Raw genomic sequence first — 17522 nt, forward strand, 5'->3', positions numbered from 1 at the left:
CTGGAGTACAGAAGGATGTGGGGGAGTCCAAGGATTGTGCTTTCACACACACCACAATGACTTCTGCTGTCCCTTCCCTCCCTCCCTCCCTCCCTCCCTCTCTCTCTCTCTTTCTTTCTTTCTTTCTTTTTCTTTCTTCTGTTTCTTTCTTTCTCTCTTTCTTTCTTTTCTTCTTTTCTTTCTGCTGAGTGAGCACAGAAGTACACACAGATATAAAATTCACTGAATCACCATTAGCTGTTCTTCCTTGTGCCTCCCACCCAGTTCAGGAGGAATTGCAGGTCCTACAGAATTCTAGTTCTAAGAGAGTGAGAATCTTTATATGGCTGATTATTCCAGAATTTTCTATAATGATACAGCTGTTGTTTCTTTTAGCCAGTTTTTATTGAATTCTATTCTTTTCTATTGAGTCGTAAAACTTATTTCTATATTCTGTTGCAAGTTTGTTTTAAGATATATTATATATATAATATTCTTGAAATCGGAAAGGTTCTGTTCATTTTCTTAATGTAATTATTTAAATATGAAACTTATTTTATTAGAAATTACAAATAATTTTTGCATATATTTATGACATATGTTGTTTAGTTATGATACATGTATACATTATGAACTGGGTGACTCAAGCCACTTATATTCATCACCTCACAAATTTATCATTTCTTAGTGGGGAAATTTTAATGTTTTTTTTTAGTAATTTTGAAATATATACCACCTGATCAGCTATAGTTGACATGCTGTGCATTAGAAAAGCATAACTTATACCTCCTGTCTAACTGGAACATTGTGCACTTTAACCCACATCTCCCTTTCCCAGTCCACCCCTCCAGCCCCTGGTAACCAACATTCTACTCTATCTCTGCAAGTCTACTGCTTTAATATACTACAGTGAAATCTTGAATTACTCTTCCTCCGTTCCTGGCTTGTTTCACTTAGCATAAGGTCCTCTAGATTCAGGCATGCTGTCACAGAGGCAGGGTTTCCTTCTTATTTAAGGAAGAACATTACTCTGTTGTGTCTGTATGCATTTTCTTTATTCATTCATCCATTCATGGGAATTTAGGATGTTTCCATATCTTTACTATTTTAAAAGATGCTGCAATGAACATGAACATGGAGTGCAGATATCTCTTTGACATGTTGATTTCATTTCCTTTGGATACATAGCCAGTAGTGAGACTGCTGGATTCTACAGTAGATTTTGTTTCTTTATTTTTTGAGGAACATTTATAGTATTCTCCATAAATAGCTGTATTCATCTACATTTTCACTCTCCATATTCTGAGTTCTGTTTCTGTCATTTCAGCCATCTCAGCCCCATTCAGAACCCCTGTTGAAGAGGTGCTGCGGTTGTTTGGAGGAATGAGGGCGCCCTTTTTGTTCTCATGACTTTTGCACTGGTTCTTTCTCATCTTTGTGGGCATATCCACCTTCAGTCTTTGAGGTTGCTGACTTTTGGATACATTTTTATTTTCTTTTATCCTATTGGATGATCTTGAGGGTTTGATTGTGGTATAAGGTGGATTCAGCCAACTGGCTTCATTTCTGGAAAAATTTAGGTGGTCAGTGCTCAGCTCCCAACACCTGGACTGTGTGCTCTAACTCTGGGGGAACTTATACAAGTCCCTGACTTGGTTCTCTGGCTCCTTAAGGTTAGGAATCCACTGTCCTTGGGGGGCTGGAGGTGTGGCAGCTGTGACAGAGTGCTAGTGGGTGTCTGGGGGCCTGCCTCCCTGCAGGTGTTCACCACAGTGGCAGAGGCACTGCATCTGTGGGTGTGTGGGGCCCTGCTGGTGACTGTGTTCAAAGTCACGCTGGAGGTGGTGTTGGCTCAGGGGTGGGACACTTGTGGGCACAGGTCCGGGTGCCGTATTCATGCCCCACAAGCAGGAGCAATTTCTGAATGTGTGAGATGATCTGCTATTCTCTGTGCAGAATTAGTGCAAGTGCGGGACGCTGACAGGAGCGGGCCTGGCTTTTTCCCCACCAAAGCTACCTCTGCCGTGGTGGTTGGGGTGGGGGGAGGGGACTGCACTCCACGCAATGGTGGGACAAGAAAAGCAAAACCCACCTATACAGACATGTGCCTGCAAAGTGATGTGGGGAGTTACGTGGGCCTGGGGGAACCTACAGTATTCGGAGGAAGTGTGTAAGCTGGTGTGTGCACATGAGAGCTGCCCGATTGGAGCTCTCCACCAGTCAGGCATGGTCTGCCAGGGCAGAAATTTTGGTGCAGGATCCCAGGGTGCCCGAGACTGCCCTGCAAGCAGGTATGGCCAGGCTAGGGCCCCAGGAGAGGCCAGTAGATGGAGGGGCACTCAGGTCCGTACATTATTTGAGAATATGGCCAAGTTTTATGTGAATGAGTGATGACTTGATTGTAATGCAGCATTTTATTCCAGTACACAAACATATCTCAAATTGTTTAACATTCACCTGTAATGGATATTCAATGTGTTCTCTCAGTTTCTGGCTTTTATACAGAAAGCAGCTATTCAGTGTGGGAATGTGAAAAAAATGAGAAAACTGTGATTTTATTCTGACCTCATTAACAACAAAGCTGAACAGCTACAAATAAAAGAGAGAAAAAGCATTCAACATATCTGAGTCGATTTCACCGAGCAAACAAGAAAACTGAAATCTGACAAGATAGGAGCCTGCAAAGAGAACCAGGACCTACCTGCTAGTGTACATAGGGCAGGTGCCACTGGATGGCATTTGAGATAGAAACAGACTAACCTAGAAATACTTAATGACTTTTTTTTAGTATGCATGTACTAATGGTGTTAGAGTGGCCTAGTGCTTGCAAGCTTTTCCTAGAGAACTTGAAAAATCCACGGACAACTTCCTCATCTGGTGTCTTGTGGTGTTGACTGGGGAAAAGAACAGCAGCTCCTGTGGAATGCCTGGATGCACCTCCACTACCTCCAGGGGAAATCCACCAAAGCATGTGTCATGTGAGCTGTGGTGAAGTCAACAGAAACAAAAGGAAACAGAGGACACCAAGGAAACTTGATCCAGAAACACCTCCCATCTCCTTCCTCAGGAAAGAAATCCTTACTCTTTAGGGTAAGGATAGTGGGTAAAAAGCTGGGGACACTGGTGAAAAACAATTCTGTATGGGAAAATACATTCCAGCCCTGGGGAAAGAGTTAAGGACAGGACAATCTGCAAGGCCACTCCCCAGAACTATGCTTACTACTCCTGCATAAGAAGAAGACTCAGTCAGAAGGTTGGAGGACGTCCCGCTTTGTCCAAGCTCCTTCACCACACAGTCAGCAATTTAAACTGTCAGTAGGGTGCACTTTCCACAGCTGAAAGAGACAGACTCCCTGGGGAAAACTAAATATAAAGACCCAGGATCAAACAGGGACACAAAAGCAAGTATCATGGGAGGAACTTGAAATCTCTGTGGACAGCAGAAGCTGACTTCAACTCTGATAATTGTGGCATCCATAAATTGCAAATATAGCCCTGAATAGATACACACAAATGTCTATAATGAAGGCCCAGCAGAATGGAATGTGTGACCATCTTCAGGAAGAAAATAATGAATACATGAGTACAAGAAAATAAATTACAAATAAAAGTCAAACTTGAATTCTATATGTATTAAAAATTTCATTTAAAGAGAAAGTCAAATGAATACCCTGTAAGACAATTCGATTCTGAGAAAATTTATTGCCAGTGCATTCATCCTTCAGTAGGTGCTTTGGCAAATTTTCTGCCAGGGTGAGTAGCCATATGATATACATCTGAAACATGAATCTATCCAAATAAAACAGGTGGTCAAGAATGAAAAAATGAAGTTGAAATGTAGTTTTTATATTTTTAATTGTTCTAATATATGTCTATGTAAAGTAACGATAAAAATGCACATATTATATTTTATAGCACATATAAGTGCAAACTGAGAATAAACTAAGACAACGGATGAGAAACAGGGTTTAGAAGAATACAGTTATAATAGCTCTACAACCTATGAAGAGGTTTTACATTATTTGAATTAGAATCTGATTATATACAATTCGTATTGTATATCTTATGGCCAATATAATATTCATAAAGGATGAACTAAACGATAAGTTAATAGAGAATAAACATGATCATAAAATGCTAAATTAAAACAGAAATTAACAGAAAAATAGTAATACCAGTTTTAAAACAGAATTTATTATAGTTGTTTTAAAAAGCAAGACCCAACTATTAGCTCTGTATAGAAATTTGCTCTACATAGGAAAGTTAAATACAGGAAAACATGGACCATGAAAATATGAACGAAAAGAAAGCGTGCTTAGCTATGTTAAATTCAGACAAGGTAGACATAAGACTTTCAGGAATCAAGGGGCATATTACATAGGGTAAAGGGATCAGTTTTCTAAAAGGCATCACCAAAGATTTAACCAATGGATCTGCAATAGAAAATAGGCTAACATCTATAACAGATAGAGACTTCGACACTTATTGTGATTGACAAAACAAACGTGATAAAATAGGTAAATACATAAGTGACCAGAATCAACTTATTTCACTAGTTTCATTTATAGAATATTCAATGGGAAGACAGCAGGAACCCAAACTGTGATTAACCAGAAGATATTAGAGGGACATGGTGATTGAATTTGATGTGGTTACCTGAGTTGAACAAAGAAACAAACAAAAAGCAATAGGAAAGTGAGACTTTATCTCAAAAAGAAAAGAAAAAGGAAAAAAGGAAACTGTTAAAAATTGGCAAAATTCAAATAAATCCCAGAGCTGAATAAACAGAAAATTATCAATGTAAATATATTAGTCCCATGTCCCATTTTTTTAACATACTAACTTTAGTGAAAACTCGGAGATGGATGTGAACACACTGTATTTTCCTTACAATTGTTCTGATAATCTATAATTATTCCAAATAAAAAGTGTGTAAAATATAAAGTAACAATCATAAAAATAATAGTTCAAAGAACTTATAAAATAGGCTTCTGAAAATAATATTGTTACTAACATTATTATGGATAATTATTTTAGAGGATAATACTGAAATGATCATCAAAGTAGTGGACAGATGTTTATTTATTTCAGAAAAAGATGTGAGGCATCTCATATTAAACACTAGTGATGGAAGTGTTTATAGAGTTATTTTATCATCTATAATACGATGGATGAAAAGCATTATCATAAGCATTTGATGGATGAAAAGCATTACTCATAAGCATTTATTTAGCCAATATCATGAATGTATTATAATTTCCTCAATTGTGCACCACTTTTGTGTTAATACCATGTGAACATTTTCCACTGCGTGTGTCATATCTAAAAATTTGAACTAGTTTGTTTCTTATTAACGTGACTCTTGTAAATGCTGTAGGCATTGCTAATGTTCTCTGTAATTTCTCTACTGGTGACTTTTTCCTAATATTTTAACATGATAAATTTGGATTAATACAACTATGTAATTTAATAATATATTTTAAACTTCATAGTCGTACACACACAGACACACACACACACACACACACAACAGCCAAGCAATGACACATATATGCGTCCATGCAAAAATGAATGTATATTAAACACCAAAACAACACACCCATTTTTTCTATATTATTTTAATTATTTAACTGAATGTAACTTGTATTTGCAGTTTCATTTTTGAATGAATGTAAATGCCATTCTTGCCAAATATATTACTTAAGTGTACAGTGGTATTTACTTTTTTTTTTGAGACAGTGTTTTGCTCTTGTCGCCCAGGCTGGAGTGCAATGGCGTGTTCTCGGCTCACCGCAACCTCCACCTCCCGGGTTCAAGCGATTCTCCTGCCTCAGCTTCCCCACCATGCCCAGCTAATTTTGTATTTTTAGTAGAGAGTGGGTTTCTCCATGTTGGTCAGGCTGGTCTCGAATTCCCGATATCAGGTGATCCACCCACCTTACCCTCCCAAATTGCTGAGATTACAGGCATGAGCCACTGTACCCAGCCAGTATTTACTTTTTAAATATCAGTCAGTTATTAATAAATTGAATAATAAGACAAACATCACTTAAATTTTTATTAAATCATTGATTAAAGTAACATTGTATTTTTTTAAACTAGGCAAGATATAACTTTTCTATTTGAAAAATTTTTTAAAAAACTTTTTGGTGTTAATTTTCAATACAAACTCTAGTCTTTATTTGCCAATATGCCTTTATAATAAAGAACATCCAGTGATAGGAAACTGAAAGCAGCCCATGCTTTGCAGGATTCAATCACAATGGCAGCTTGCTGGAGGGTGGTCTGAGAGTGTGCAAACACATTAGGGATTTGGACTTCATGAAAGCACTAGTGAGCCCCTGGGCTGAGCACACAGAGGGTAGCATGAGTTGCAGAGCCCAATCTGTGGTACTGAGGGAAAAAGAGGAATGGGTGGGGGTTATGTCTGCAGGACCCTAGAAAAGTGTGATGAGGGCAGAGAGTCTGCAGGTAGAGCATATTCTAAGGAGAACTGTTACTCTCCTAAACTTGGTTGGCTTCAGTGATCATGAAAAGAAGTGAACTGATTTACCAGACATGGGGGACAGAAAGTAAAAGGACTTCCTGTTTCCTGCATGGAGAGTGAGGAAGATAAAATATTTTGACAGAAAAAGAGAAGATGGAGAAAGTTTGAGAAGCAAAACACCAGGGGCCAAAGTGGAGGACATGAGCCCTTAAAGCGGTGTTTCATCTGCACAAACAGCCAATGAAAGGAAAAGAAACTGGACCCCACGCATATGCTGAGTTGTTAGAAAAGCATTTACAATAGTGTGTCTGACAGCACAGAAAACAAAAAAATTGTGCATAGAGCCAGACTTTGGATTGAATATACACAATTAAAAAAAATTATACTGAGATATATCATTGCTAGTATAACTCTGAAAATAGGCAGAGTTTAAAGTTGAATTGAACCCCTGTTCTAAGTTAATGTTTTATAGGTGAAAGAAACCATGAGTTACAAGGAAGACATGGTAAGAGATCCTGGGGAAGACTTTTGCTTGACCAGGTCAGGAATCACCAAGGTGGAAAAGGAAACCTCACCCTCCCCAGGTACCTGATATGGAGCTGCCTCCAAAGAGCCCCTTGGAGGTCCTGAGTGTCCCCTCGTGTCCTGAGCCATCCTTGCTGTCCTGAACACCTGCTGGTGGTTCTGAGCGCCCTCTGGTGGATCTGAGCGACCCCTGGAGGTTCTGAGCGTCCCCTGGTGTCCTGAGCGCCCCCTGGTGGTTCCTCAGTGCCTACTAGTGTCCTGAGTGTCCCCTTGTGGTTCCTGAGCGCCCCCTGGTGGTTCTGAGCACCCCTTGGTGTCCTCAGTGCCCCCTAGTGGTTCCTGAACCTCCCCTGGTTTCCTGGGCACCCTCTGGTTTCCTGGGTGACCCCTGGTGGTTCCTGAGCGCCCCCTAGTGTCCTGAGCATCCCCTGGTGTCCTGAGCGCCCCCTGGTGGTTCTGAGCATGCCCTGGTGGTTCTGACCGCCCGCTGGTGTCATGAGCGCCCCCTGGTGGTTCCTGAGCTTCCCCTGGTTTTCTGAGTGTCCTCTGGTCGTTCTGAGCACCCGCTGGTTTCCTTAGCATCCCCTGGTGTCCTGAGCACTCCCTGGTGGTTCTGAGAATCCTCTGGTGTCCTGAGCACCCCCTGGCAGTTCTGAGTACCCCTTGGTGTCTTGGTCACATCCTGTGGTTCTCAGCACCCCCCCACCACAGTCTCATGAGCGCCCCCTGGTGTCCTGAGCGCCCCCTGGTGCTTCTGAGCACCCTCTGGTGTTCTGAGCACCCCCTGCTTCTTCTGAGCGCTCCCTGGCAGTTCTGAGCGCCCCCTGGTGTCCTGAGCACCTCCTGGTGTTTCCTGAGCGCCTGCTGGTGTCCTGGGCTCCCCCTGGTGATTCTGCCTGCCCCCTGGTGTCAACACCCCTTAGTGGTTCTGAGCAGCTCCTAGGTTCCTTAGGGCCCCCTGGTGGTTCTGAGTGCCTCCTGGTGTCCTGAGCACCCCCTGGTGGTTCTGAGCGCCCCCTGGTGTCCTGAGCACCCCCTGGTGGTTCTGAGTGCCTCCTGGTGTCCTGAGCACCCCCTGGCGGTTCCGAGTGCCCCCTGGTGTCCTGAGCTATCCCTGGTGGTTCTGAGTGCTCCCTTGTGTCCTGAGCGCCCCCTAGTGATTCATAGCACCTCCTAGTGTTCTGAGCGCCCCCTGGTGTCCTGAGCGCCTCCTGGTGGTTCTGAGCACCCTCTGGTGTCCTGAGGGCCCCTTTGTGGTCCTGAGCGCCCCCTGGTGTCCTCAGCACCAGCTAGTGGTTCTGAGCGCCCCCTGGTGGTTCATAGCACCCCCAATTGTTCTGAGTGCCCCCTGGTGGTTCTGAGCACCCCCTGGTGTCCTGAGCTCCTCCTGGCAGTTCTGTGCACCCTACCTGATGGTCCTGAGTGCCCCCTGGTGGTGCTGAGCACCCCCTGGTGTCCTGAGCCCCTCCTGGTGGTTCTGTGCACCCTCCCTGATGGTTCTGAGTGCCCCCTGGTGGTTCTGAGCAGCATCTACCGCATAGTCCCCTCCTGTCTCCCTGCAGTGAGCTTTGTGTCTGGGCTCACACAGGGTTTCCCTCACTGTGTCACTCACAGTAATACATGGCCTTGTCCTTGGCTTTCAGATTGGTCATTGTAAGGCAGACTGCACTTGAAAGGGTGTTGCTTGAGATTGTTAATTTATTTGTATTCATGGAGAGTAACCCTGAGAATTCATACTTGATTGCTCACTGTTGGCATCCACACCTATCCCTGTTGTGAAGCGTGCTGGACCAAGCTCATGCTGTAGCCAGTAAAGGTGAAACCAGAGGCTTTGCAGGAGAATCTCAACCGCTGGGCTGTAAAATTTTTCCCCCTCTGACTCCATCAGTAAACTTCACACAGGACTTCCATGAACACAGAAAACAGACTGAGAAAATCCCCATGAGGAGCAGCCACAGCTGGACCTGTTTTACAAAGGCCACTAATGTTGACGGGGATGAGAAGGGAATCCAGATCAGTGCAGACCCCATGGTGTGGACACTGAGGAAGGGCACAGACATGGGGTGGCTCCTCGCCAGGGCCTGAGGGAACAGGGGATAAGCTGCCTTTCTTGAGAAGGGGAGGGGACACATTTCCATGTCTTTCTTTTTGTGGTCATGGGTGCACCGCTCAGCATTGCTCATCCATCCTCTGTGTCTACATTTCAGGGAAGTCAAGGTCAAAGGATTTCTGGGTCTGGATGCACAGAGTTAATCTGCCCATTACTCTTTTTTATTCTCTAGTGTGGACGCTGTTCAGGTATTTTCATAATAGCAAACATTATCAACAAATATGTCCAGTAAGAAAATAAAAATATGTTTCCAGAGAAAATGGACACCTGTCTCTAATTGGTACATTTAGAGCTGCAAACTACTGTTCTTGACAATAAGGCAAAGTTAGGTTACAATGAAAAAAATACATATCTACGCCTTGTCAGGGAGGGGGTTTATAATTATCATTATCTTGAGATCATTTTGCCACAGAACAATTCGACATTGGATATATGTGTTTGTGTAAGGAAACAGTCAATGTGGACATATGTGTACTTATCTGAATTGAGTTCACATGGAGACATGTTTGCTTGTCTGAGACAAGAGTCCACATGAGGAAATGTCTGTTTTCTGAGGAAAGAGTAAATGTCAGAACATATGTGGTAGTCTGAGGAAAGAGTCCACGTGGGGACATGTGTGTTTGTCTGAGGAAAGAATCCACATGAGTAACGGTGCATTTATCTGACAGAAGAGTCCACATGTTGACAGGTGTGTGTCCCCATCTGAGGGTAAATGCCCATTCAGGGACAGTGTATGCCTGAACTGAGCTGAAGTTTGGGGAAATATTTCTCAACCAAGGAAAGAAAATAATCCTGTGGGTTATTTGCTTGTCAAGAGGAAAAAACCTGGGTCACGTAGAAAATTGATTTTAAAAAAAATTAAAAAATTAAAGGTCTTTAGTGAATGGCAACATCTTATATGCAAATCAGGAAAATTACCTCATTCTTTGTTGCATACATCTCATGAAATCTCCACCCTCACAAAATAAGTAATGAGATAATTTTATACAATCTGCATTTGATCCTTGGGTTAATGAACTGCTAAGTACTTTTTTTTAATTGTGTATATTTAGGTTTATATTTTCCATCATAAAATTATGTGCTTAGACAAATTAATTGTGTCATATCTGAACCATTGCATATCACTATAAATAATTTTAATCTTCTTAAACAGTGTCTTTTTAACTTATTTTATACCCAGTCTCTAAGCTCCTGGAATATCCTCTATATGTTTACTTGACTACAGTTTTGGCTTTTATAGAATTTCAAATAAATCAAATTATACAGTGTCATTGAAATGACTTCACTGAAGAAACTGGAAAATGAAGTTGCTGACCTAAGGAACTTTGAAAATGAGGAAACTCTATAATAAGTGTAAAGAAACTGAATATAAGCACTCTATTCTAGTAGATAAACATGTTTCCAACAAGGTTACAGCTTTACATTTCTGATACTGCTATGCATGTGTCCTGAAATTGTGCAGCTAAGTAATCAAATGGCATATGGTTGGATGGGGTTCCTCACTTTGCAGTGAGTGGTTATAGACAGTCAAGGAAGGAAGGCTAGAAAGGTCCATGTGGTAGCATAATTGGGTAGAGAGACCAGTGTGTTCTCACTTTTAATGTAATCAAATTACAGAAGGTTAGATACATAGTTTACTAGGCCAGTCAGTTGAGAGGTCCTACAAGTACTTATACCACGTTAACAATGCACATACCCAGTATTACAATTTTTTAAATACTATTCTTTAACATCAGAAACAAGCAGTCTTTAGAAAAATGGCTGATTCTATGTACGAAAAAGATAATATAGAAAATGAGTTTAGAATTTATTATAATAGCAGGAAACAGGGAAGTGTTCAAAAACAAAAGCATGAGGTGAGCTGTAAGGATGCAGGATCCAAACTAAATGAGCTCCCAGCACATAATAAAGCTGTGGTGGTTTGAAAAATAAAATGAATAATGTAGCATGGATCTTCTTCAGAGTATGAAATAGACATCCATAAACCAATACACATATTAATAAGTGATCAAATAAAGAAATAATAGGAAGAAGAACACATCTTTTTACAGAAGTATTCCAACTATGTTAGGTTGATAGTCCTCCAATCAAGTAGGTGAAGCTTAAACACTCATGAGTTGATTGTAGCCTGAGACTAGAGACACGGAAAAAGTAATCATATTAGTATATTTTATAATGAGATTTCAGATATAATACCAAAGACATGATCTGTAGATGAATAAAATTTTATTTTTTAAATCTAAATTTGTATAAACACACACACACACACTTTTCTGCAATACACACTGATAAGGGAGTAAAAGACAGCCACAGACTTGGAGAAAATACTTCCAAGTCACATATTTGTTAAATGAATTCTTTTAATTTGTTAAATGACTTTTATAATCAATATGCAAGTAAACTTACAACTAATCAAAAGAAAACAATACAGTTAAAAATGAACCAAATATGAGAAGAGGCATCTCAGCAAAAACTATATGAAAATTGTTAAATGTAAATTTTTATTAAGGAAATGTGCATTTAACTAAAAATTAGATACCATTACTCACCTATTAGAATGGTTAAAACACATAATTCTCATAATTGTAAATGGCAATATGAATGTGGAAAACCAAGAACTATCATGCATTGATGGTGGGAATTCAAAATGCTACATGCACAAATGAGTTTTTTTGGCATTTTTAAAAATAGAGATAAAATGTGATTTGTGTATGTGTTCCAAAATATTTACAACACTGATTCAGAAATTGATGTTTACACAGATACCTACAGAGGAAGTTCTGTATCAGTTTTATTAATTCAATCCCTGAAATTTGCTTGCAGAATAAATATTGTATGAAAAATCTCTCAAGTAATTAAAATTTCTCAAGTACACATTTATATTGTTTCTTTTCCTTAATGACTTAATGTCATTTTCTGAGAAAGTCTTCAATCTAATAATCTTTGTCATTTCCTCCATGCCAGTACAGCTGCTTCCTCCCTGGGGTTTCTGACACTCTCAGGATGTGGGTTTTCACTCTGTGTCTCTCGCACAGTAATACACGGCCGTGTCCTCAGATCTCAGGCTGCTCAGCTGCATGTAGGCTGTGCTCGAAGATGTGTCCCTGGTAATGGTGACTCTGCCCTGGAGCTTCTGTGAATATTTTGTGTTACCATTGCCAGCGTTGATCCATCCCATCCACTCAAGCCTTTGTCCAGGGGCCTGGCGCATCCAGTTCATAAAGTAGTCGGTGAAGGTGTATCCAGAAGCCTTGCAGGAGACCTTCACTGAGGCCCCAGGCTTCTTCACCTCAGCTCCAGACTACACCAGTTGGACCTGGGAGTGGGCACCTGTAGAGAAGACACAGGAGTGGATGGAAGCCCCCTTGACTGGCCTCAATCCCTTCCTCCTCACTGGGATTTGGCAGCCCCTTACCTGTGGCTGCTGCCACCAAAAAGAGGATCCTCCAGGTCCAGTCCATGGTGAGGAGCTGTGCTCTGGGGGCTTCTTCTGAGGAGGGATGTGGTTGTTGGGTGATGCTCTCAGGGCACAAAGATATCTATAGTCATATCAGTTATTTGCATATTCATGAGCGATGCTATTTCATACCTAACACAGCATGAGAAAGAATGGAGAGATGACACATGGATTACCCAACAGGAGGATGCTAAGGGTTCAAGCTATAATCCCCTTAGAGGCCATGTGTGCCCTGCCACATCCCTAAGCTGTATGTTGACAGAGCTTCTGGAGAACAATTTTCTCCAGAACAGTGGAGAACACTGGAGAACAATTTTCCCTAGAACAGGACTTCACTGGGAACCCACACTTGAATAGCTCAGAGGTAATTTAAAGCATTTCTAGGCTTTAATACATGAATGTGTTATTTGGGGGATGAGTGTGTTTCTCCAAAAGTTGCACTTATTTATATAAAATAAAAGCTTAATTGATCTCCAGATGCTTACTATTAAGGTATGTAGCAGGGTTAGAAATCTCCAGTGTAAATTGATAAATTCTTGCAATTGAATAGGATATTTATGGAATCTTCAGCAGTCTTTGTCAAATACTTATTTTAGATTTTTTTAGAAGAATGACACAGATCTTGAGAGGAATCCCTCCCCAGCCTCCTGTGCACCTGCTCTGGGGCTGGGGCCTGTGCTGGGTGGGCCTTGAGCGCCCCCTGCAGCCCAGCCCTTGCACTGCAGAGAGGCTCCTGTCTGGGCTCCCAGAGCATTTTCCTCCCTGTATGAAGTGGCTGTGTCCTGGCTCAGAATGCTTCTTTAGTGACACGTGACACCATGTCCTGCTGACACCATCGCTTGCAATAGTAAATTGGTTGTAGGAAAGCCAGTGAACTCTGCAGAAACACCCCAAACAAGGATTCTATGAAACCACCAGGGAGCCCCTTCTCTGGAGCTCCGGAAGCACTGGATCAGTCCACACTCACAATGAGTCCAGGAGCTCCCAGGGGCTTTGGGAGAACACCTAATCTCTTGTCGGTTCCTTTGGATGAACATCTCATCAGATAATTTCTAAACCTACAAAATCATGGGTCTCAGAGCCCACTGCGAAACTCCTAATACACACACACACACACACACACACACACACACACACGGGTGGTTAGAGTCCCCACAGTAATGGACACACACACACACACACACACACACACACACACACACACACTGTGTCTAGAGTCCTCACAGTAATGAGAGGGAACTGTGTCTTACTCCCTGTGTCTAGCGCATTGGCTGTGTGCCCATAGTGCCTCTAGGCCTGGGGATATGCCCTTGTCAAGCAGAACAACAGCAAACACTTTACTGGAGATGGGGCCCTGCACACACTGTGGCTTCCCTGTTCTCCCAGAACCTGGGATCCTGCAGATACCCCTAAGAAGAGTCCAGGCTCCCCCAGGAGGGTCAGCCACAGCCCAGCCCCACCGAGTTGGTGCAGCCTGCACTGAACTGCTGACCTGTGGAGAGGGTCACAGCAGACCCACAGCCCAGCCAGCCCCACTCCCAGAGGCACATCAAGGAAGGGGGCAGAACCCTTGGGACTCTTGATGGGCATCTTTTCAGGAGCAGACACAGGAACCGTTCCAGGAACAGGGGACCTGGGAAGGTCAGTAGCTGGTCAGGGTTTCTGAGGACGAGTGTCAGTGATGGGACCAGCCTGTCCCTTCTCATATGGGATGTCTCTCCTGGGGATCCTGTACTGTCTTATTTGTGCAGGTCCACTCTGTGGGACTTGTCTTTATAAATCTCAAATCTCAGGAACAGGAGAGCTGTGCTTCAAAAGCCCCCATAGAGAAGACACATTCCCATCCTGCTGTGATTGAAACAGCTCCATCCTGGGCATGGGGAGGGCTCATGTGTCCCACCTGGGATGAGAAGCAGCAGCCACACGTGAGCTGAGGAGGACCCAAGGCTGCTTCCCAGCACTTCCCCACAGAGTGAAATGTGTCTGTTTGCCCCAAATCCAAGCTGGTCCTGTGACTTGCTTCTTTCAAATTTCTTGGCCTGGAAAGTGCAGGCACCAGCTGTCAATGTCACCACTATTGTGACACTGTACACAGAACCAGGGAAGGATCCCAGGGATGGGGCTGAGGACAGACACTAGCTAAGTGGACCCATTGAAAACATGCAGATCTGCTGGGGTTCACACTCCTGGAAGGACAGATCTTGGAGGGTTTGGAGGAGGAAGGCGCCACTGTCGGTGACTCAGGAGCTGCTGCTCTGCGGGTCACCTCGTTGGCAAGTAACAGTGGGTAGGTGAGTGTGGTTCATCCCCTACAGGGACAGCCCCTCTTCACCAGGAAAGAAAGTGGCTTTGTTCATACTGGTTTCCCCGGCCGTCTGGTCATCCTCTCTTCCTGACCTTCTTCCCATGGCCCTCAGGGCTGTGAAACATGGACAAAGACACTTTCTACTCCAACCGTTGATTACCCAGGTCAGCTCCCTCTAGAAAAGCCATGATGCCTTCCTGGTTCTGTGTGCCTGGCTGAACCAGAATGGACACACATGGATATACCAAAGTGTCAAAGTGGAGGAGAGGAATCTTGGCAAATATCACACAGGAAAGAGAAAGGAATTCGTTTGTATGCAATGAGAGGGTGCAGGGCATGTCTGGAGGCTGCAGGAGCCAGAAGCTTCATATTTTTTTAGTGACCTCGGTTTTGTCTCCCCTGTTGTTGTGAGGCTTCCCTGAGTTCTCCTCCTCAGATAGACTCTGTGCCTTTTCACACAATGACCTGTAGGAGATGTTTACACCAAACAAGAAGCCTCAAACATGGTTTATATTCTGATCTAAATTTTCGGAGGATAAACTCAAGACAGATTCAAAGAAGTGATTATAAAGTATCAGTATGTAGCACTTGGTTGAGAAAACCTTAAACTCATATTATTTTTATGAACCACATGCATAACAAAACTTTGTCCAATTCCTCCACTTTATCAGAGACTGCCTGCAGGATGAATTTCAATGCCATCTAATTTAGAGTAGGAGCAAAACTTAAAATCCTCTATAGGTCTGAGTGCCACTAACAACCAAAAAAAATTTCGACCATTATGAAGTTTTAAGAGATGCCACAATGACAGCCTGGGTTGATAGGTGATGGCATTTTCCCTGAGCATATTCTGTGAAGAGTGATTATGGTAGCTTTTCCTTCTAATGAGGAGAAAGCAACAGAGAAAGTAAAAAAAATAATAATAATAATCACGAAACAGAAAAAAGTGGCCCAAATTGTTTAACAAAAAAAAAGCACTAGAAACTGCCACAAATTAAAAGGAGATATATTGATTACCTAGCAGAAAATTCAAAGTAAACCTTATAAATATGTTCACTGAGCTAGGGGAAGAATGCACGAACAACATGAAAGTATTAACAGGGACAAAAAAGGGAGAGAGATGAGATACAATGATTTGTGGCTTAACAGTAGGGATACATTGGCCAGGCGCAGTGGCTCATGCTTGTAATCCCAGCACTTTGGGAGGCCAAAGAGTGTGGATCACCTAGGTCACGAGTTCAAGACCAGCCAGGGCAACATGGTGAAACCCCATCTCTCCTAAAAATAGAAAAAAAAGAATTAGCTGGGCGTGGTGGTACATGCCTGTAATCCCATCTCCTCAGAAGGCTGAGGCAGGAGAATCGCTTGAGCCTCGGAGGTGGAGGTTGCAGTGAGCCAAGATTGTGCCACTGCACTCCAGCCTGGGTGACAGAGTGAGACTCCATCTAAAAAAAAATGAAAAACAGTAGGGATACGTCTGAGCAATGTGTCCTCAGGCAATTTGTCATTGTGCAAGGATCATAGAGTGTGTTTACACAAACCTACATGAAATACCCTGCTACACCCAGGCTGTGTGGGATAGCATAGTGCTCCTAGGTAACAAATCTGTATGTCATGTAAGTGTACTAAATACTGTGGGCAGCTGAATCACCATAGTAGATGTTTATACAGATGAACATATCTAAGCATGGAAAAAATGCAGTGAAAATACAGTATTATAATCTAATGAGACCTTTGTCATGTATGTGGCCTGTTGTTCACCCAAATATCAAAATGTGCATGATTCTATTCAAGTTGCTGAAAAAAAAAGCCAAAAAACTTCCAAATAAATATCTTACAGGGATTAAAGCTTTTCTTCAGTAATGCAGGATGTTTGAGAAGTTTCCCAAAAAAGTAAAAAGTCGACAAGTTCATCACCACTAGGCCGGCCTTACAGGAATGCCAAGTGTCTCTGGCAGGTTTCCTGAACAAGGAAGTAGCTGCATCAGCTCCACTCTGTTATCTGCCAATTGATAGATTTGCATAGTTTTTAATTTTAATTTCTCTTCTGTTTTTTCCCTCCATAAACTCCTTCTCCCTTCCTTTCATAATTCTGTCTATTAATGCAACTCATATTTAGCTGACAATGCTGGGGTCATTGGAATAAATTTCTATTTTTCCTCCACCAATTCTAATAAGCTGTCTCCAGGGGTGTCCATCTCCGTTTTCTTTTCTGCCATTCCCATGGGATAATTTCCTTGTTCCTATGTGAGTCCAGCCCTCATCACCACGGGCCATCCAACCATCATGCACCCAGGAACAGCTTCAGGAAATGTACCCTGCCAGCTGCCTATCAGCCTCCACCTGCACAGTGATCATTCCTTCAGCTTTCACTCAGGCCGGAGGGCTTTCCACCCAAAAGGGCCTTTCACACCCACTCCCAGCACAGTTCTAGGACCCTGTATACCTCCCAGATACAGGTACATATCCTTCCCCTTTGTTGTTAATTTTGTTTAATTTATTTAAAATTCACTGGGAAATCACTGATGATGGGAGTGACCAGCCTGTCCATTCCATTTTCTGTCCACCATCTGACGGCACCACCTGTGAGGTTGGCCACCCTAGTGTGCTGTGCTCATGGGGCCATCTGGACATACACAAACACCAGGTGTGTGAGTTA

The 17522-nt window shown here is 42.6% G+C and overlaps 1 pseudogene across 1 annotated transcript, besides 1 other annotated feature; it reads right to left on the reverse strand.

The window, feature by feature from the left end:
- Positions 1343-1843: an enhancer, noted in NCBI's record as "H3K4me1 hESC enhancer chr15:22455274-22455774 (GRCh37/hg19 assembly coordinates)". NCBI's record gives its function as "activates a minimal SCP1, AML or CMV promoter by ChIP-STARR-seq in primed H9 embryonic stem cells {active_cell/tissue: H9 hESC(primed)}" and the evidence as "EXISTENCE:reporter gene assay evidence [ECO:0000049][PMID:30033119]".
- LOC642131 (immunoglobulin IGHV1OR15-3-like pseudogene) lies at positions 11875-12616 on the reverse strand (annotated as a pseudogene). Its single transcript, NR_135667.1, has 2 exons — positions 12517-12616; positions 11875-12431 (listed from the first exon to the last, which is right to left on the reverse strand). The product of NR_135667.1 is annotated as an immunoglobulin IGHV1OR15-3-like pseudogene (transcript).
- Positions 12617-17522: the final 4906 nt, after the last annotated feature.

The sequence above is a fragment of the Homo sapiens genome, chromosome 15, assembly GCF_000001405.40.
Source record: "Homo sapiens chromosome 15, GRCh38.p14 Primary Assembly".
Taxonomy (NCBI): domain Eukaryota; kingdom Metazoa; phylum Chordata; class Mammalia; order Primates; family Hominidae; genus Homo; species Homo sapiens.